General features: G+C 41.3%; 1 protein-coding gene across 21 annotated transcripts in view, besides 1 other annotated feature; it reads right to left on the bottom strand.

The window, feature by feature from the left end:
- The window catches only part of EPG5 (ectopic P-granules 5 autophagy tethering factor), a 166749-nt gene that overhangs the window by 137151 nt on the left and 6846 nt on the right, over window positions 1-22752 (bottom strand). For 20 of the 21 annotated variants that reach the window (XM_047437710.1, XM_047437706.1, NM_001410858.1 and 17 more), the window contains exons 2-10: window positions 16663-17607; window positions 14669-14912; window positions 13371-13507; window positions 11753-11860; window positions 10772-10845; window positions 8932-9037; window positions 6274-6388; window positions 5430-5580; window positions 1869-2024 (exon numbers count right to left, since the gene is read on the bottom strand). In XM_047437710.1, coding sequence (XP_047293666.1) covers window positions 1869-2024; window positions 5430-5580; window positions 6274-6388; window positions 8932-9037; window positions 10772-10845; window positions 11753-11860; window positions 13371-13507; window positions 14669-14912; window positions 16663-17607 — 2036 coding nt within the window. The other variant, XM_047437711.1, reaches the window with a different exon arrangement.
- Window positions 13010-14209: an enhancer, noted in NCBI's record as "P300/CBP strongly-dependent group 1 enhancer chr18:43530707-43531906 (GRCh37/hg19 assembly coordinates)". NCBI's record gives its function as "activates an origin of replication core promoter dependent on BRD2, BRD4, P300/CBP, MED14 and CDK7 cofactors, with strong dependence on P300/CBP, by STARR-seq in HCT116 cells {active_cell/tissue: HCT116}" and the evidence as "EXISTENCE:reporter gene assay evidence [ECO:0000049][PMID:35650434]".

The raw sequence follows: 22752 nt of genomic DNA on the forward strand, positions 1-22752 counted from the left end.
TTTTAGTATAGTTCAGTTTTGTTTTAGGTTGAAGGGATAGCTATTGCCAGAAATTTCCATTTGAGTGCCGAATAAATTTAAATTTCATGGCTTTAAATATCTGGTTCTCATATAATTTGTTTCCTAAAATAAACTTAAGAACAATAGCTGTCAACATTTTAAAACAATTATCTTTGTGAAATTATATACACAATGTTACAGCAAGGGTTCACAGCTCAATATATAAGCTCTAGTAAGTAACTAGGATGAGAGCTTTGCCTCTCCACTAAGCAAGCACAAGAACAAGTAACAGATCAGAGAAGGAAGACTCCTCCCATGCACCAGGCCAGCGTCAGTGGACAGGTGCTACTGCACTGATGCCCTGACACAGTCCTGAACAGGATTTGGTGCATCTCATGAGACCACCAAATTTATGGTATAAGTATAACAGGAGTAATCTAAAGATAAGGCCGGGTGAAGTGGCTCATGTCTGTAATCACAGCACTTTAGGAGGCTGAGCCGGGCAGATCACTTGAGGTCAGGAGTTCAAGACCAACCTGGCCAACATGGTGAAACCCCGTCTCTACTACAAACCCAAAAAATTAGCCGGGCATGATGGCAAGCGCCTGTAATCCCAGCTACTTGGAAGGCTGAGGTGGAAGAGTTGCTTGAACCCAGGACACAGAGGTTGCAGTGAGCCAAGATCATGCTACTACACTCCAGCCTGGGCAACAAAGTGAGACTCCATCTCAAAAAAAAAAAAAAAAAGATAAATTTCTATACCCAAGTTCTATTTAAGTTAGACTCAATGCCTTCACAGTGTCTAAAAGTGGTTAACACTTAGCTAAGACCTCCTGATCTTTCTCTAAGTCTCTAGATTATTCTATTCCCCAGATGAAACCACACAAGAAAAACCCCCACTTACATTTGAAAAGTCCTTTATGGTTTAAAATGTATTTCCTCATATTACCACAATTCACCCTCATCACACATCCATGAGGTTAATGGAACAGTAGTATCATTATCACCATCTCCGTTTTAGAAATGAAAAAAGTGAGACCACAAATATTAAGCGACTTTCCCAGGGTAACAGTAAATGGCAGACCAAGACTCAAACTTACTATACAACACAGAATAAATCAGGGGCTAAGGCTAAGAGTTACATGGCAAGAGGGAGTGTAGGCAGCTAGCTCAGGAGAGGGCCAAAGCAGGGGAGAGCCAGTAGTTCATAAGCACAGCTGGGTGGGGGTGGAGGCAGCCCCGCATCTCCTAGCGGAGGGCATAATCCTGCAGCAGAGCCCACTCCTCAACTTGGCCAGTGGCTCAGGGAAGGGAGCACGGGATGTGCAGCTATGCCCTTGCCTATGCCTCAAACAGGTCCTAGGCTGTAAGCAGTGGCACAGTCAGCATGATCCAAAGACAGCATTTACAAAGCTAAGACAGGGAACCAAGATCCATGACATTCCCAGACCTTAAAACCCTTACCGGAAGGCAAATTGAACAATAAAATCAGCAAATCATTTGCACCACATGCTGCACACCTACTGCGTCTCACTGCAGGCACTGCAGTGGGTATGTGATAGATAGAATCTATCCTTGTTTTCCCCTGCTCAAGGCTGCCCCAAAAGTTCAGGGTGGCAAAAAACTGAGACACCAGAATAGTGTTATCTTAAAACAGAAAGAAATTGAGAGAGAGAGAGAGACCATTTCAGTCAACAGGTGGGTACTACAGATAAGGAAACCAAGGCCCAAGAATTTGCCCTCAATAAGAAATAGATGAAATACACTAAGAAACTATTATAAAAGACCTACTTAAGTGGCTTTCACCGAATGGTTCTTACTAGTGAGGAAGTTACTTCTCACTAAATATCATCATATGTCTTACTTACCTTTTGGCCTTCAGCACATGTAGGACAGCCCTCAAAAACAGTTCATCAAATTCAACCTGTAGTTTCTCCATAGAGTAGGGCTGTTGGGCCAATCCTGAGCCTTGGTTATGGCTCACATACTGTGCCCAATGGTCACTTACATAACCAAGAGTCATCCTGAGCATGAGGAAAGATAATACAGTACTTTTCATTAGCTCAATATCTGCACCTTTATATTACATTTCCAACATTCATTTATTCAACACATATTTATTGAGCACCTACTATCCACCTACTATTGTCCAGGTTCTGAAACTAATGAAATGGGGAAAATAAAATCCTACCTTCATGGAGCTTACATTTAGTGAAGGGCAAAGAGACAACAAATAAAATAAAGTCATATACAGTCTGTCACATGGTTGTAAGTGACACTGAGAAAGATAAAGCCAGAGAAAGGAATAAAGTATGTCTGGAGGTGGAGGGGTGGGCAGGATAAGGAGGTGGGTTGGGAGCACGAAAGGGCTTACTAAAGAGGGACATTTGATAATGTCTGGAAAACAGTGAGGAATCACATAAGTCTCTATGAGAAGAGTGTCCACGTAGAAGAAACAGCCAATGCAAAAGCGCCGAGGGGTGTCAGGTATGTTTAGGAACAGCAAGGAGGCCAATGTGCTGAGAGGTAGACTGGCTGGAGATGAAATCAGAAAAGTGGCAGGAAACCAGATCGTGAGGGGCCCTGCAGGCCACTGTGAGGACGTCGGCTTTTTCCCTGAGTGCAGTGGGGAGCACAGTAGGGTCCTGGGCAGACAGTGAATGGGCTGACTCACAATTCATAAGGAACACTGGCTGTTTAAGAATACACTGAGGTGGGGAAAGGGCAGAAGCGGGTGGTGGGCAAAGTCAGAAGCAGGAAGATAAGTCAGGAGGTTTAGGAATGAAATGGGGTGCTAGCAGTGAAGGCGGTAAGAAGCAGCTAGATTCTGGAAGGAGCATGTTTCATTGATTCAAAAGGATGCATGTCTTTCACACTAGTATCCCTGCAATTAGAACGTCAGAATCCATGTTAATATTAATGATGTGATGCCATAATTTGGCAGCATTTTCCCTATGTTAGTGGCATATAAAATGTATCTTAAAAAATAATTGGTGGCATTTTAGATTTGATAAAAGATGGTATTTTGATGGTGGAGATGATAAAATTTGCAGTTAGATTGAATGTGGGGTATAAAAGAAAGAAAAGCCACAGGTGGCACCAGGTGTTTTGGCCTGAGAAACTAGAATAGAGTTGCTACTTAATGAAACTGGGAGTAGTAGTTTGGGAAGGGGGGAGAGTGAGTTCATTTTGAGAACACTACGTTACAATGTTAATGAGTCATCCAAGTGGAGGTGCTCGGTTGGTAGTTGAATATACAATGTGTTTATGAGAGAGGTATGGACTGGAAATATAACTCTGAGAATTGTAACAGTGTTTAGATATTTAAAGATGAATGAATGACATCTCAAAAAGCAAGTGTAGATAAAGAGAAGAGAGGTCCAGGGACTGAGCCCTGAGACACTCTAACATTAAGAAGCCTGGAAGTGAGAATGAAACAACCAAGGAGGCAGAAAAGGGACTGTCAGTGAAATGGTGGAGAAATCAGGAGAATGTGGTATCCTGGAAGCCAAGGAAAGAAAATGTTTTAAGGATAAAATGATCAACTAACTACGAGAAAGGCTGCTATGTAAGCTGCGTGAGAGATGCCAAGTAGGATGAAGAGACCCAGAACTGGCCACTGGATCTGGAGCACAAGGTTCATTAGAGATCTTCATCTGTAGGAGCTGTTTGGGTAGCGGTGGGAGGAAAAGCAAGTTCAAGTGAGGATGGAGGAATAAAATGGGAACTAATAGACGATCTGAAGGCAAGCCCTTATGGGAAATTGTTCTGCAATTAGAAGGTATGAGAAGAATCTGCACTAGATACAAAAAGTAAGCAGATGGAAAGAAAAACAAAGAAAGAATAATCATAATACACTACAGCTGTTATTTACACAATAATGTAAACAGTGATCTTAAAACAGTAATGATACCAACGTCCTTCCTATAGAGTTACTGAGAGAATAAAATAAGAAATCACAGTCCTGGCATACAGTAAGCACGCAATCCTACATCATGTAAGTGAGCTTATGGACAAATTTTATTTATGGTCTTATTTATTAAGAAAAATCAGAAAAAGAACGTCTGGATGGACTTCTGTTAATAACAGGTAGATGGGCTTTTAGCTTTTAACAAATTTATCTCCAAGTCACCAGCCATCCTCCCTCCCACTGTCTCATTCTCCTAACTCTATACTCAAGGCTTTCTCTAGACCTCAGGAGGGACCCCCAGGCCGGGCACAGTAGCTCATGGCTGTAATCCCAGAACTTTGGGAGGCCAAGGCAGGCAGATCACTTGAGGTCAGGAGTTGGAGACCAGCCTAGCCAACATGGTGAAACCCCATCTCTACTAAAAATACAAAAAGTTAGCTGGGCGTGGTGGCACACACCAATAGTCCCAGCTATTCGGGAGGCTGAGGTGGGAGAATGGCTTTAACCTGGGAGGCAGAGGTTGCAGTGAGCCGAGATCGCACCACTGCACTCCAGCCCGGGTGACAGAGTGAGACCCTGTCTCAAAAAAAAAGAAGGGACCCCCACCCTTTTAGGGCATCCTATAATCACTTGACTGATTTATAAAGCTAATGGATACATATCTAAAATAAATGAATTAGGCCAGGCACGGTGGCTCACACCTGTAATCCCAGCACTTTGGGAAGCCGAGGCAGATGGATCACTTGAGTCCAGGAGTTTGAAACCAGCCTGGGCAATGTGGTGAAACCCCGTCTCCACTAAAAATACAAAAATTAGCCAGGTGTGGTGGTGCGCACCTGTAATCCCAGCTACTCAGGAGGCTGAGGCACAAGAATTGCTTGAACCCAGGAGGCGTGGGCTGCAGTGAGACGAGATCGTGCCCACTGTACTCCAGCCTGGGCAAAAGAGCGAGACTCATCTCAAAAAAATAAAAAAATAAAATAAATGAATTAAAAGTAATTTTGTTTTGGAAGCGAAAGGAGGGAGAGAAGTTTTGTAGTTTTATGGAGTTTCTTTTGGGTGGGGAAGGAAGTTGAATAACAGCATACGTATATGCTATAAGAAATGATCCAGTAAAGACAATTAAAATTAATAAAGCAGAAAAAAGAGTATAAAATTAATTCAAAGAAAAGCAGTACATATTCTCTAAATTTATTAAGACAGCTGAAGCAGTAAGAGCCTGTATTTTCCTAGATGCCTTCTCTCTCACCCAGACTTCAACCCAGCAACAGCTTTGGGGATCTCAACTCCAAGAACAATCATCTAGCAAGCCAGTTAAATTTGAGATAATTAACGAAATACTCTAACTGGAAGCAATTATGAAATTCCCATCTTATAGATGGTGAAGAAAAAAATCTTAACTATTACGAGAAATAAGACCTGAGGTTTACAACTAAAACGTCCATCATCCCAATTATGCAGTATCTGTGTCTGACCAGGGTGAAAGGAACAGAGAAGGGTAGAGCAACAGCAGTATTACCTGATCATATAACCAATTCGCTTCACAAACTGCCTATAGCGTGCTCTATTAAAGGTTTCTAACCCCACAGCCAGAAGTTCCACTAGTGAGTTGGCAAAGGCAAAAATTTTCATCATCTCTTGAGGTCTTGTTGTTTCAGGTAAATAATCACCTAGAAGTTAATCAGATAAAAGAAAAAAATCATAGTTACTATGAAAAAACATGAACGGATACATCTGTATAAATATTTTAATGAGGACTCAAAGCCAAGGTGGAGAAGAACTGACAGTCTCATTACTCTGGCTCCCATATCAACATGAAATGGGAAAAAACTTGAGACAATGTGCCAAATTAAAAACAATTTATTTAAGTTGGGAATGTGCAAGCTAGCTAGCTTTCTCACATTTAAGCACCAAGTGGGAAATTACAAGCACAAGAGGAGCCTAGAACAGCTAGGCACAAGAAACCCGAGTTGGAGCCTACACAAGAAGTAAGACTCGGGCCAGGCACGGTGGCTCACGCCTGTAATCCCAGCACTTTGGGAGGCGGAGACGGGCGGATCACGAAGTCAGGAGATGGAGACCATCCTGGCTAACACGGTGAAACCCCGTCTCTACTAAAAATACAAAAAATTAGCCGGGCGTGGTGGCGGGCGCCTGTAGTCCCAGCTACTCGGGAGGCTGAGGCAGGAGAATGGCGTGAACCTGGGAGGCAGAGCTTGCAGTGAGCCGAGATCGCGCCACTGCACTCAGGCCTGGGCGACACAGCAAGACTCCATCTCAAAAAAAAAAAGAAGACTCAATGCAGAGTTCCTGTGTTTACACTTGCCACTACCACATTTTACACTTAAGAGAAATGAGTCTACCTTTTGCTTTAAACCCAAGAAGATGCTGAAAGAGTTCATGAAAGGGGAACTGTGCTAAAATGGTAACCAAATCATCTTCATTAAGGAGAATCCAACTGGTCTCAGGGTCTTCATCCTAAGGGAAAAGACAAAAAATCATGTCAGCAGATTTGATCAGATCACACTATGATCTAGCGTTACAGGAGCTAAATTATCACAGGTCTCAATGGTATACATGTGATATCCTCATGAGTCTTCATGGACCTTTTCTCCAGGACAGCAATTTATAGTATCAGTTCCACAGACAGTTACACAGTAAATCCCCTGAAATTCCAAGCACAATTTTATATGTATCTGGGTCACAGCAAGTGATTGAAACTGCTCTCATTAAATGTCCATCCCAAAGAAAATAGAAAAAAAGAAATCCTCTAGAGTGAGGACCTTATAGGGATCAGTGCTTTGATAACATCAATTAAAGAACCACAGATGGGCCGGGCGCGGTGGCTCATGCCTATAATCCCAGCACTTTGGAAGGCCGAGGCGGGCAGATCACCTGAGGTCAGGAGTCCAAGAGCAGCCTGGGCAACATGGTGAAACCCCATCTCTACTAAAAATACAAAAATTAGCCAGATGTGGTGGCATGCACCTGTAATCCCAACAACTTAGGAGGCCAAGGCATGAGAATTATTTGAACCTGGGAGTCGGAGGTTGCAGTGAGCCGAGATCACACCATTGCACTCCAGGCTGGGTGACAGAACGAGACTCCATCTCAAAAAAAACAAGAACCATAGATGAGAGTTCAAAGTTATGTTAGCTGCAATTCTCTTCTCCCAAAATCAAGATCTATGTAGTATGCAACAGACTTAAGACGAAGCAATTGACATTTGCTATAGGTGACTAAAGTTCTGTTGTCAATTACTGCTGCCAAAAGCAGTATAAAAATAACAGTGGTCATACACAAAGATTACATAGGGGAAATCTTTGCGGTCTTTTCGTTTGACACAGAGCACTAAAGTCACCTTAGAAACCAAGTTGATTCATGTCCCTTAGGACATGACCATTAAAAAGGACGCTACCATTAAAAAGGGAAGGAAGTAAAAAGATCCTGAGAACCTGAAGAATATATCACCTCAATTTCAACAAGGGACTAAGGCAAAATCATTCATAATTTCCTTAAGCCACTCAATTTTTACACTCTTATTATGTATCTAAAATGGCTAACAAGCATTTCAGAAACTCTACTTAAGGCAGTAGTTCTCAACTTAGCTATTCTCAACTCAAAGGTACATTTAACCCCCAGGGAGGCTTTTAACTATTTGGATGTCTGGGTGTGGGCCTGGGCAAGGTTTGCAAGTTGCCCAGGTGATTCTAGTATATAGCTAGTAACAAGAAACCAATGATGTGGATAATTCAGAGTGCCTTCCTCCCTACAGCCTTTTCTGAGGTAATGGCACTCCCAACTTTCTCATCTACTCCTCAAGTTCTTGAATTCACTGAATATTTAGGGAGTGCTAAACAGGAGCCAGGCACCAATGCAGGGTGAGATAATTAATCAAATATTTTGACTGGAAGTATTTATAACGCCTAATCATTACATGTAATTATAACGCTCCTTAATCATTATCTGTCTGGGATTAAATGCAGGAAACCTACCAGAAAAAAAGACTTCTCCCCCAAGAAAGACCACTCTAAAAAAAACATATTGCTCCACTACAATCTTTAAAAGACCAATCTGTACTGGCTCCTAAGAAGCTTGCTTCAGAATGACTCCTCAGTTTCTAGCAAAAATGCCTGCACATCCACGTCATTTACCACCACCTGACCACCTCCTCCTGCAAGTCTCAGGAAGAGAAAAACGACTGTGAAGGGGGCTCCCTACTTCTGAATGAGCACTCTGGGAAATACACAGACACGATCCAACAGCTGCCACGGCTGTCATTCTGAGAACTGTTGGCTGGACACTTTCATCTCCTTTTAAGAGAGGGATTATAATAAATCGGTCACTGGACATTCTAGACAAGAACACCAAATCAAGATTCAGACCAAAATAAAGGACTAGAACTGATAATTAGCTGGAGAACAGAACTGCTTACAAATCTAATCACAATGACTATAGTAGAAAGGAAAATTAACAAGGGTGATCTCGAGAAGCTGGATTTTGATCATTAAATTCTCACCAAAAATGGAAAACCATCTTCTACCTTTCAAATGAGAATTTCTGGATAAGAAGTTTATGAGTTAAGGGAAAACTTTGCTAAGCTCCAGCTCTTTATTTCTCAGATTCATATCATCTGTAGGTGAGGCTCCAACCCCAGCAACTTGTTACTATATAAAAAAACTCCTAATATACATCTTATGTAATATGACTTTAATTTCCAGGTGCCAAATTCTCCCAGCTGAACAGAATGATATTCTAGAGAAGGGGTGCAGCACAGCACACTGGCTCAAAGCATAGGCTCTGGAGGCTCCACATTTAATGACCCTATGGTTTAAGAGAAGATACTTCACACCCCTGCACCTCAGTTTCCTCATCTATAAAATAGGAATCATAAGTCTTTACCTCATGGAGTTGCTGAGAGAATTAAATGAGATACTATGTGAAAAGTGCTTAGAACAATACTTGGTGCATAAGAAGAGTTCACAATGATTCATCAAAATAATGCAGATATGACAAGTTACCTCTTCTCCTCCTTCGTCTACTAGCGTCCAAGTCCCAGACCCAGGCCCTGAGGAGGATGGCTTCCGCTCGCTGGGCTTCATGTGGCACATAAACTCAGCTCGATTTCTAAAGGACAAGAATAATCACTCCCATCACTTAGATGTAGGCTACGTGAGTGCATTGTGGATTCTCTACTCACCCTGAAGAAGAGCCACACATCATCCCAATCTTCCAATGGTTTAAATTAGTGAATAAGAACTGGCCAAAAACCAAGGCTAATAAAACTGCACTAATTTTGGTGGAGAATGCAACCATTCTGAATTAGTAATGATGAATAATTGCAGAAAAGCAGCTACACTAGCACAGCTCCCTGCATGATGCAGGACCTCAATACATATGCTGCGGACCTTAACTCAAACCAGGCTCACAAAGTCTTGCCAGGGAAACTATTTTAGCAACTATGAGTTACTGAATAAAAAAGGGTAATGGAGGCTGGGCGTGGTGGCTCACGCCTGTAATCACAGCACTTTGGGAGGCTGATGGGGGTGGATCATGAGGTCAAGAGATCGAGACCATCCTGGCCGACATGGTGAAACCCCGTCTCTACTAAAAATACAAAAATTAGTTGGGTGTGGTGGCACATGCCTGCAGTCCCAGCTACTCAGGAGGCCGAGGCAGGAGAATCTCTTGAACCCAGGAGGCAGAGGTTGCAGTGAGCTGAGATCGTTCCACTGCACTCCAGCCTAGCGAAAGAGAGAGACTCCCTCTCAAAAAAAAAGAAAAAAGGTAATGGAGAGGCTTGTTTAGGGCCAAAACATAGATATAAATGCAAAAACACTTGTGAGTCAAATCATTATCTACCACGTGCAGGAGCAGGCCCTTGTATCCAAGGCAGTAAGGGAGAGGAACCATCAAATCTAAACTCCTCATTTAATTTCAAGGACTTCTATAATCCAACCCACCCGAGTTCTTCACCTCTATTACCAGCTCCCGCACACACCTTTGCTTCAGCCACACTGATCTACCTGTGCTCCGTACAGCTATCCTAACCTGTGTTGGGGCCTTTGCTCACACTGTTCTCCCACCTACATGTTCTCCATTGTCCCGTTCTCCTACTGAAATCTAATCCATTCTTTTTTTTTTTCTTTCAGTTGGAATTTCGCTCTATCACGCAGGCTGGAGTGCAGTGACACGATCTCAGCTCACTGCAACCTCCGCCTCCCAGGTTCAAATGATTCTCCTGCCTCAGCCTCCCAAGTAGCTGGGATTATAGGTGATTACACCACCATGCCCGGCTAATTTTTGTATTTTTAGTAGAGACGGAGTTTCACCGTGTTGGCCAGGCTGGTCTCAAACTCCTGCCCTCAGGTGATCCACCTGCCTCGGCCTCCCAAAGTACTGGGATTACAGGTGTGAGCCACCATGCCCAGTCCAATCCATTCTTCAAACACAGCTCAGTTACCATGAAACACTCTGACTACTCCACTCAACTCTTTATTCTCTTCATTTCTATTGCATAGCTTCGCAATTTAGCACTTAAATCTCTCTGTGCTATTTCTCTTCTGGCATTAAATCTCTTCTTCCAAGAAACAGATCACCTTTTTTGTCTGTAGCACCTTTCACAATAGTATATATGACCCACTAAAAGGGGGAACCCATAAAAATGGTTGCTTATATATAAGCAGTTGAAGGGTCACTTTGAAACAAGTATCAAACCCAAAGAAAATCTGCAATGTTAAATTCTAGAATGCCAACACTTCCCTTAGCTGTTCTTCTTTGGATCTAGGCAGTTTCAGGAGCCAATCCTTTAGAAGAAAGAAGCATTTCAATCTCTACTTCACAAAGCTCTTGCACACTTACTTGACAGGAGACATCAGCAGGGCAAGGGATTGCATAAAATGAAAGACCCCTGATGGGTTATGCAACACTTTGATCTGAAATCAGAAAAGCAAAAAGCATACTGTAGAAAACAAATAACCCAAGTGTCCATAATCTTGGTTCACAAGCATTCTGACCAAAGTTGCTGTTAAGAGAACAAAGCTGAAACTGGTACCTAATACACAAGAGTAAAGCACAGCCCATGGGTTACCTGGTGGCACTGAGTCAGCTGTACTCAAAGAGCAGAGGTAACTGAGCAGTTTCCACCAATTATCTGTAACAACATGGGATGAAGGACACTACTGCTACTTTAATCCAAAGAGAGACAAAACAAAAACAAAAAAAATCCTCCTTCTACCTAATAAGATTCAGACTTCTTGCCACCAGAAGTGCTAAAGAAAAGGAGGTGTGGAGAAGCTGAATTTGGCAAACATTTTGGCTCCTGCAAATTCTAAGTGGTTGCTATGAGTAACAAAATGACCCAAAGGCAACAGCAGAGAGGAGAATCTAAAAACCACATAGTCAACTCCTAAGTATACAAGAGTTGATCACATAGACCTGAGATCTCTGCTAATATTAAAGAACTTTGAGATGTGGTGGCTTCTGTTTGACCTGTACCAACTGTGGTGTAAGACAGATTGACTTAGGAAGCTGTATTGAGTACCACGGGAAAAAAGTCCTGGTGAGCCTTTCTACACAGGAATTGTGTAGAATTAAATGCGACTGAAACTACCCAGCCAGACTACAAGCAGACTTAGTACAGTCTGTACTATCAATTATGGGTAGCCCAACAAGTTTCAGTCTAAGAACTTTTATAAATGTATACTGGATATATTTTAAGAATTTTATTTTAAATATTACTCTTTTTTAAATAGTCCTTTTTTTTTCAGCAATTTCTTCAGGAATAATGTCTAATAAAACCTCTCCCCCAACCCCTCAGAATGAGTTGATGATTCATCATACCTGGATAAAAGGAACAGCCCATTTACTAACACCAGCGGGGCATCGAAGAATATGGTTTAGAAGGAAGAGGTGATCTCCAGGACAGCCAACTCTTTGTAGCACGGATACCTGAACAATAAAGGTCATATGATCTCACTATTTTTAATAAAAGAAATAATTTATCTAGGGGTCTAGTAAAGTCATTTATCCAGTGCTTCAATACATGCAATCTTTCAAAAGAGTAACCAGACACAAGATATACTATTCACTGATGAGTTTCTACGAGGCCTACAAATCTATGAGTACTATGATAACATCATAAGCAGATTCTCTACAAATCTAGCTTTTTCTTCTTTGGCAAATAACAAATCACTAATTTCCTGGCCACAAGTGAATAGATATAAGTCAAGTAGTTTAATCTATTCTTAGTTTGTAATGGTTTCTTAAATCCAAATAAGTATGCTTGAAACATTATCCTTCATTTAAGAACTCTAGTACAAACCTAAAAAGAGCAACCAAGGCAGCCCCACTGAAAACATAACCAATAAATAAATAGCCCTCTTCCCATAACACACTCAACATCTTTCCTAAGTTTTCCAAATCCTTTTACCTTTCTTCTTTCTCTTAAAAGAAACATTTTTAAGCATGACATTAAATATCACGACAAAAAGAATGACATATAGAAAATTTTTGATCGATACTTTATCTAAAATGCACAAGACCAGAAGTATTTCAGACTTCAGATTTTTTCGGATTTTGGAATATTTGCATAAACATAATAAGATATCTTGGTGATATGGTTTGGATGTGTTCCCACCCAAATCTCAACTTGAATTCTATCATCCAGAATAAGATAGAATTCTTCTTCTCCATTGTGGGAGAGACCCAGTGGGAGGTAACTGAATCATGGGGGCCGGTCTTTCCCATGCTATTCTCATGATAGTGAATAAGTCTCACGAGATCTGATGGGTTTATCAGGGGTTTCTGCTCTTGCTTCTTCCTCATTCTCTCTTGCCACCACCATGTACGAAGTGCCTTTTGCCCTCCACCATGATTCTGAGACCTCCTCAGCCATATGGAACTGTAAGTCAAACTAAACCTCCTTTTCTTCCCAGTCTCAGGTATGTCTTTATCAGCAGCATGAAAAAGGACTAATACATTTGGGGCTGAAACATAAGTCTGAACACAATATTCATTTGTAATTCTGTACCTGAGACAAAGTTTCTATTAAGTACTTAGGTGTGGAATTTTCCACTTGTGGCATCGTATCAGCACTCAAAAAGTTTGGAATTTTGGATCATTTCAGATTTCTGAATTAGGAATCCTCAACCTGTACCTATATTCTGAATATACATCTAGTCTTCAATTTCGCATACTTCCTGCATTTCCATTTCTTTCAAAGCTGAAGTCCAGAGTTCATTTAGCATAATCTTTACTAGAGAGAAACATACTTTGTGCTCAATAATGCACTAGATAAATAACTTACTACCATGTATCATGATCAAAGAAAAGTCATTAATAAACTCATCAAATAAATTAGCTGAAAAAGTTGAAGACCAAATGTAATGATATAACAGATAATTCCTAAATTATGAAAGAAATAAAACAAAGACTACTGTGTCTATCTCTGTCCCCTTACCAATTTCTGCAGCCAGAGAAGAATATCATCATGAAACTGAGTATCTTCATTAACTCTCCTGGTGAACATGAATAAGACACTAATGCATTCCTTTAGTTGACACAGATCAGAGGGAATGCTTTCTGTCTGCTTAGACGCTGTAAATGAAAGATATTAAATGAGTCTCTCATAAATGGTGTTTTTGGGGGAATTTTTAGTGTCTTCACTTAAACCAATAACAACAAAAACCTTTAAAATATTTAGTGCAGATAAAAGGAGAAAAGTTACATCAAAATACTTAAATTTTTATAAACAGACAAGTCAAAAATGTGTTTAACTTTGAAGTATTTCAAAATAATGGAAAAATCAACCTCATCATAATTTTTTTTTTTTTTTTGACACAGCCTCCACTCTGTCACCCAGGCTGGAATGCAGTGGCGCAATCTTGACTCACTGCAACCTCCGCTTCCTGCGTTCATGCCATTCTCCTGCCTCAGCCTCTTGAGTAGCTGGGATTACTGGTGCCTGCCACTACACCCAGCTAGTTTTTGTATTTTTAGTAGAGAAGGAGTTTCACCATATTGGCCAGGCTGATCTTGAACTCCTGACCTCAAGTGATCCACCCACCTCAGCTTCCCAAATTGCTGGGATTACAGGTGTGAGCCACCACACCCGGCCATAATCCACTATTTTTTATTTGAAAATCAGTACATCTCTGACCTACCCCCAGTTAATTGATTAGTTAAGAAAATGGGGGAGGGGGAATTTTACTTTAAAGTACCCTAATACATCCCCCAGAAATAAAAATTGCATAATTCAACAAGCATACTTAATATTCATGTCATAAAGACTAATTTCTTAAAATCCAAAATAAGATGAAAAATTCAGAACATTATTAATCCTCTGTTGGAAAATTAAACAAAACAGCCCTACAAACAAAGCAGCCCAAACAAACCACAAGAGATAAAGGGTGAAGAAGTATTCCGATGATTACTTTTATAATCAAAAACTATATTTGGACTCAACTTGGTAACAAGCACATTAACTAGGACAGCAAAGGACATTAATGATAGATAGTGAGCTTTTTGGCATCCTAGAGAAGCAGAGAAAGACAGCCACGGAGAAAGGAGACCTGGCAATGCTCCCAAGAAATGTCATTAAGGCAGATCTCAATCCTACAGTGGGGGAGGCCTGGTAAAACTGCAAGCACAAATGGTACCTTGTAAGACCAATTACTATACAGTCAATTCAACCAGGCTATACCCCTCAATTTTTTTTTACTTCAAAACACAAGAAAGAGAGCTTCATTACTTACATACCTCGGCCTTGCTGGTGAATTGCTGAAGATCTCAGAACAGCTGAACTACTGAGCAATGCATAGATGTAAGACTCCACTTGCAATCTTGAGAGCACAGAAGTATAAGAATGAAGGGCCAGGGTCTGGTGGAGGTGCTCAGATTTGGCATCGAATAGCTTCTTTAGCTCCACCAGTGCATTTTCATTCATTTCTACTCTTTGGTAGCGATGATAGCTGAAAACTTTCACTTGATCTGCACAGATACCCTACCAGAGGACAAAAAGGTACAATATGAAACCAGTTACTCTTTCCATTTGAAGTAAGCAGGCAGCAAGTATAAGGTACACAGGCTTCAGTACCATCTTCAAAGAGCTTATAATCATGGTGAGGAGACATATTACTGTGTAGAGAACATTACCAGCAAATATATGATCAGGTGCAAAGGAACAGAAGGCCAATCACAAATACATCGCAAATTCAGAGAAGGGAAGAGTAACTCTAGTAGTCAGCAGTGGGCCAGGCGCGGTGGCTGATGCTTGTAATCCCACCACTTTGGGAGGCCGAGGCAGGTGGATCACGAAGTCAGGAGTTTGAGACCAGCCTGGCCAACACAGTGAAATGCTGTCTCTAACTAAAAATATAAAAATTAGCTGGGCATGGTGGTGGGCGCCTATAATCCCAGCTACTCGGGAGGCTGAAGCAGGAGAATTGCCTGAACCCGGGAGGTAGAGGTTGCAGTGGGCCAAGATTACGCCACTGCACTCCAGCCTGGGCGACAGAGCTAGACTCCATCTAAAAAAAAAGTAGTAGTCAGCAGTGAAAGCTGCAAGAAAATAATAGAACTTGTCCCTAAGACTTTCATGATTGATGATCTTACCTTCTATTTTATGAATATGAAGCCAATGTGATATCTCCAAAACTTCAAGGTATCTCAAAACATCTCTGGATCTACCCTCATCATTCTTCATAGTTCTACTCAAGAGAATACACACTCCACCAGCTGTGTTCTTGATTCTATCCTCTCTTCTTCAATACAGTATTTCCAAATATTTCCCTCCTTACTATGTACAGAGATATACAGGTCTGCCAATGAATGAGGATTAGGGATAGGGGAATGACATGTTTCTCCCCAATATCCCCTCCAGCTTCCCTTCACTGCCAAACTTGTCAAGAGTAACCTCTTCTTCCTTGCCATCTCTCCTAAGCCACTATGAAATGGCTTATGATCACTTTGGCCTCCATAGGGTTGCATCTAATGGTCTTCTCCATCCCCTCTCAAACTTGAGAGGACGTCTCCCCCTTCCTTTGGGGGCTCTGTGTTACACATCAGGGACTCTCCATTGCTTATAGTTAAGAAGGTGAGTTTCACTCTCATTTTGTCCACTGGCATCATCCTGGAGCTAGGAATCAGTTACTACCTTCAGATTCCTCATCCCCACTCAATGGGGAAGACCATTGGATGCAACCCCATGGAGGCCAAAGTGATCATAACACCTTCAGTTTCCTCATCCCTTCTCAACCTTGACACTCTCTTCCCATTGGATGTTGGTAGCATTATGCCCAAGGTCACAAACTAATGACCCATGGGCTGAATTTCAGCTGGAGACATGATTTGCTTGGCCTACACTGTCTGTATGTGTCTGATTAGTTGCTAACATTTGCAAATTAGGATTCCTCACACTAAAATCTAGATTTCTAGTTTTTCTTGTAAAATCATAAGATGTGGCAATGCTGAACCATCACAACCTCACAGCAACCATCATCTAGAACTTGAGAACGGCTGTCCCATCTAAACCAGGCATGGGCTGGCCCAGTGACCATTGTCCCACTCAGCCTGCTTCACTCCTCCAGCTTATACACCTGGCTCCTGCAGGCATTTGACTTTGTGATCCCTGCACTCTATTACTCTAGGCTGAGGCAGGGTCAGAGTGGGTGTAAGGCACAGACTCCAGACCTGGACAACATCCCAGGAATAGCAGCTCCGCTGCAAATTCCCCAGGCTTCTGATCAAAATACCTGTACAGACATTTGTTCCTCCTTAAACTGCCACAGCCGACTTTTAGCATTTTGGCAATCAGATGTCAGAGTAAGCAGCTCAGCTTCAGCCAGCAGCAGTTGCTTCCTACATCGTGAGTAGTTCAAAAGCAACTCATAAAATTCATGCCTGTCTTGATGAGCCATGCTGTCAAATTCTTCTAAATATGACTCAACATTTTCCAGCCATGAACCAGGCTCCAAGATTTTTAGCTGTTCTTTAGTAAATGGTACTAGTTCCAGTTGAGACGGGAGTTCTGGGTAGAGTCGCTCACTGCGAAGCAAGGGTTTCACTGCCACCAAAGCTGGTGCTTCTCCAGCAATTTCAGCTGGCAACTGGGGATACAGTTTCTTCACTCTAGGTGTCTGAAAACCATGTTTGGCTGGGCAAGAACTCTGCAAGCCAACATTCTGTGGCACCTCTGAAGAACAAACCAGGCCTTGTTTGTCTTCTTTACTATTCTGAGTTTCTCTGACTTGTATATTTTCCATTGCTGGCTGAGTATAAGAAAAATTAGATTGGGGTGCACTTTCTGAAAGTCCACCTTGTACCGACATATTTTCCTCTACCTCTGTGAAGTTCTTGGGGGTTTCTACTTTAGTTCCAACATTGTCTCCAGGGTGGACCTTTGGAGTGACTGCACTGTCCCCCACACAGGGTCTGGCCTCTCCCCCTTCCTTTGGGGGCTCTGTGTTACACGTCAGGGACTCTTCATTGCTTATAGTTAAGGAGGTGAGTGGTACATCAAACATTTCACTCTCATTTTGTCCACTGGCATCATCCTGGAGCTGGGAATCAGTTACCACCTTCAGATGGTCTCCTTTGAATTCACAGGCTAGAGAAGGGATTTCCTGCTCTCTGGAGGTTTTTGGAAGGGAGACTTCACTGGACTCTTCCCTCTGAGGAGTTTCATACTTCTTCTTTTCCTAAAAACAACATACATAATGTGAAATAATTTATCACAATAATTAATGCTTTCAGCAGGAGGAATTTTAAAGTTGCACATAAAATCTAAATTTCATCATGTAACAAATGAAACCTAAATTCACTTTATCAGTGTTTTTGAACAGATATGAACAAATATGAAACAGAAATGTGTTTCATATTTCGTATTATCCAATATTGAGCGTGTTAAATTTGGAGATTCACTAGTCTGATCCTAATAGAAAAAGACATCACAGTAAGCAGCAAATTCTGATTCAAAAAATAGAAGGGGAAAGTTAATTAGATTGTACACCATTTTGCCAGGGGTTAAGTTAAATAGATCAGTCTCTACGGATCTTCAGCCACAATAGGTTTGTCTTCACCTTGACAAATTCACTCAAAACTCAGGGAGAAAAGGACGGAACAACTTGAGCAACATAACAATTGTAGTACTGGAATAAAATAAATATCCAGGAGCCCATACTGACATAATTACCTGAATGAATAAATACATAAATAAAATGAGTGAGAAGCGACAATTCTTCCATACAGGAAAATTCCAATGAATAGAATTAACAGAAGGAATGAGAAAAACAGAACACTTACCACAAGAACACCATGGTAACTGCCACAGGTAAGATCTACCCATGGATGCTAAAGTGAGTAAGTGAAGAGTTTAAGGGAAACAGAGTATCTGCATAGTCTCAAAGTATCTCCTCCCAAATATTTAATAACAACGAACAGGAAAATAGTAAGTTTCAGTGGAGAATCCTGGAAGATAATGCCTTAACCAAATGATCAAAGTTACATCACCAGTAATACTGACATCAGATAACCCAATAGGATATTCCCAGTAATGAGTAACCTCAATCTAATCATGAGAAAACATCAGACAAAAACCCAAACTAAGGGACAGTCTACAAAATAACTGAAGGAATGTGGTCATGAAAGACAAGACTGAGAAACTGGAAGAGACTGGAGAGAACTACAGTGATCTGACAACTAAGTGTATTGCGGGACCTGGATTAGAAAAAGGACATTAATGGAAAAACTGGTGAAGTTCAAATAAGTTCTACATCCTACTATTGTACCAACATTAATTCTTTAGGGTGTTTTATTTATTTATTTTTTTTTTTTTGAGACGGAATCTTGCTCTGTTGCGCAGGCTGGAGTGCAGTCACGCAATCTCGGCTCACTGCAACCTCCGCCTCCTGGGTTCAAGCAATTCTCCTGCCTCAGCCTCCCAAGTAGCTGGGACTACAGGCACCTGACTAATTTTTTGTATTTTTAGTAGAGACGGGGTTTCACCGTGTTAGCCAAACTCCTGACCTCGTGATCCGTCCGCCTCAGCCTCCCAAAGTGCTGGGATTAACAGGCGTGAGCCACCGCGCCTGGCCAATTCCTTAGTTTTAATCATTGTTCCATGCCATAGAATGTACGGTTATATAAGATGACGACACAAGAGGATGAAGGGTGAAGAGTACATGGGAAGTCTCTGTATTATATTTGCAACTTTTCACTAAGTACAAAATTATCTCTATCATCATAAAAAAGCTGTTCACTAAAAAATAAGTTATGGTTTCAAAAAAACCTTCAGGCATTAATACGCAAACTAGATAACAGGAAGTTAGGCTGAATAAAGAAGAAAAAATTATTTAAATAACATTTAAATAAAGTTGTTTCATTCAAACAGACTAAAAACCTCATTGAAATCACTCAAATACTTACTTTCTTGAAGAAATTTTAAGGCAGGCAAACATGAGTTATACAAGCTCTTGGTTATTTTGGATTATTCTGCTCTGAATGTCCAGCAGACTAATAGCCAAAAAAGTAGGGCCTTTATATATTAAAAAGAAAAAAAAGATGAATATTTTTGACATGGAATTTGAGGTCAGCTTGTTGAAATGAACCTGACTGCCAAACATTTACAAATGGTAATGATTCAAGAAGTAATATGACCCTCCAAATTACTTCACTCCCCACTGTGAACTGTGGACATCAGATCCAGAAGTCAGTCACCCAATGCATACCTCATACAAACTACTTTGTTAAACTGCCTAAAATCACAAATAATAGAAAAACATTATATGAGTGTTAATAAAACAAAAAAGCAAGCCCAAACTATGCTGCAATGATGTTTAGCAAACTTGCTGTAATAAACAGGGTTCTTAGACTGAGAAATCAGAAAGAAAAATTAAGAGGGAAAATGGTTACTACGGCAAGAGAAATGTTAGTGGACACATCAGGGACTCTTCATCGCTTACGGTTAAGGAGGTGAGTGGTACATCAAACATTTCACTCTCATTTTGTTCACTGGCATCATCTTCAAACATCATCCTTAAAAATACATATGATTCGCTTGGCCTATACTGTGTGTGCATGTGTGTGTATGTGTCTGATTTGTTGCTAACATTTGCAAATTAGGATTTCTCACACAAAAATCCAGATTTCTAGTTTTTCTTGGAAAATCATAAGATGTGGCAATGCTAAACCATCACAACCTCACAGCAACCATCAACTAGAACTCGAGAGTGGCTGTCCCCTCTAAACCAGGCACGGGCTGACCCAGTGACCACTGTCCCACTCAGCCTGCTTCACTCCTCCAGGTTATACACCTGGCTCCTGCAGGCATTTGACTTTGTGACCCCTGTACTCTACTAGTCTAGGCTGAGGCAGGGTCAGTATGGCAGAGGCCAAATTTTAGTGAGTTGACAATCAGAAAATGAAATTAGTAAAACAATTTCATTTATAATAGCATAAAAAGAACAAACTAGGGATAAATTGAGAGAAAGAAGCATAATACTTGTACTCTGAAACTTACAAAACATTACTGAAAGAAATTAAATGCAACTTAATTTATTTAAATGGAAAGACAATCTATGTCTTTCGCAATATTGTTAAGATGACAATATTCCTCAAATGGACCTACAAACTCTACACAATGCCTTGCAAAATCCTAGCTACCTTTTTTTGCAGAAGTTGATAAACTGATACTTAAATTGCATACAGAAATGCAAGTGACCCACAACAGACAGAAAATCTTGAAAAAGAACAAAGTTGGAGAACTCGCACTTGGCAATTCCAAAATCTACTACAAAGTACAGTAATAAAGACAGTATAGTGTTGGCACATGGACAAATAGATCAAAGGAACAAAACTGAGAATCCAGAAATAAAACCTTACATATATGGCAAATTGATTTTGACAAGAATGCCAAAACAATTCAATGGGGAAATTTGAACAAATGGTGCTACAACAACTGGATATCCTCATATGAAAGAATAAATTGGACCCTTACCTTATATCATATACAAAAATTAATGCAAAAAGGATCATACACCTAATGTGAGAGCTAAAACTTTTAAACTGTTAGAAGAAAACAAAAAAATCTTTATAAACTTGGGTAGGCAAAGCCTTCTTACATATGGCACCAAAAGCACAAGCAACAAAATAAAAAGATCAATTGGACTTCATCAAAATTAAAAACTTTGGTGCTGCAAGTACCATCAAGCTCACACCTGGTCTGGCACCAGTTGATCAATAAACTGGTTCATCTGATCTTGTGGCCCCAACCCAGGAACTGACTCAGTGCAAGAAAACAGCTCCAACTCCCTGTGATTTCATCTCTGACCAATCAGCATTCCTGGCTCACTGGCTTCCCCCAACCCACCAAGTTATCCTTAAAAACTCTGCTCTCTGAATGCTGGGGAGACTGATTTGAGTAATAATAAAATTCCAGTCTCTCACACAGCTTGTTCTGTGTCAATTACTCTTTCTCTATTGCAGTTCCCCTGTCTCGATGAATCGGCTCTGTCTAGGCAGCGGGCAAGGTGAACCCCTTGGGCAGTTACAAAATTAGCCAGGCATGGTGGCTGGCACATGTAATCCCAGCTACTCGCGAGGCTGAGGCAGGAGAATTGCTTGAACCCGGGAGGCGGAGGTTGCAGTGAGCCGAGATCTGGCCACTGCATTCCAGCCTGGGTGACAGAGTCAGACTCCATCTCACAAAATACATAAATAGGGGCCGGGCCAGGCATGGGCGGCTCACACCTGTAATCCCAGCACTTTGGAAGGCTGAGGCAGGTGGATTACGAGGTCAGGAGATTGAGACCATCCTGGCCAACATGGTGAAACCCCGTCTCTACTAAAAATACAGAAAACTAGCCAGGCGTGGTGGCAGGCACCTGCAGTCCCAGCTACTCAGGAAGGTGAGACAGGAGAATCACTTGAACCTGGGAGGCGGAGGTTGCAGTGAGCCAAGATCGCACCACTGCACTCCAGTCTGGGGTGGGGGCGGGGTGGCAACAGAGCGAGACTGTCTCTAAATAAATAAATAAATAAATAAATAAATAAATAAATAGGCCTGGGTGCAGTGGCTCATGCCTGTAATACCAGCACTTTGCGAGGCTGAGGTGGGTGGATCACCTGAGGTGAGGAGTTCAAGACCAGCCTGACCAACATGGTGAAGCCCCATCTTTACTAAATACAAAAAATTAGCCGGGCATGGTGGCAGGTGCCTGTAATCCCAGCTACTTGGGAAGCTGAAGCAAGAGAATCACTTGAATCTGGGAGGCAGAGTTTGCAGTGAGCTGAGATTGTGCCACTGCACTCTAGCCTGGGCAACAAGAGCAACTGCCTTTACCTACTTCAGTTAAAAATAAATAAAGGTCAGGTGCAGTGGCTCACACGTGTAATCCCAGCACTTTGGGAGGCAGGAGGATCCCTTGAGCCCAAGAGTTTGAGACCAGCCTGGGCAACACAGGGAGATCCCATCTTTATCTTTATAAAAATAAATAAATAAAGACACAGAAGGAAGACATAATGTATATATAATAATCATTACAGATCACAAAGTAAAATTCAGACAACTCTATGTGTATCAATTCCATGTGTATCAAGTAACATAATTTAAGCCAAAGGTATTTCCTTTTTTAAAAAAAAATCAGAGACAAGGTCTCACTGTGTTGCCCAACCTAGAGTGCACTGGCTATTTGCAGGCACAATCACAGCATACTGCAGACCTGAACTCCTGTGCTCAAATGGTCCTCCTGCCTAGCCTCCCTAGTAGTTGAAAGTACAGACTGGTGTCATCATGCCAACAAAAGATATTTCTTACAACTAAAAATGCCAGGCATATTAAGAAAAAT

This window comes from Homo sapiens, chromosome 18 (assembly GCF_000001405.40).
Source record: "Homo sapiens chromosome 18, GRCh38.p14 Primary Assembly".
Classification (NCBI taxonomy): domain Eukaryota; kingdom Metazoa; phylum Chordata; class Mammalia; order Primates; family Hominidae; genus Homo; species Homo sapiens.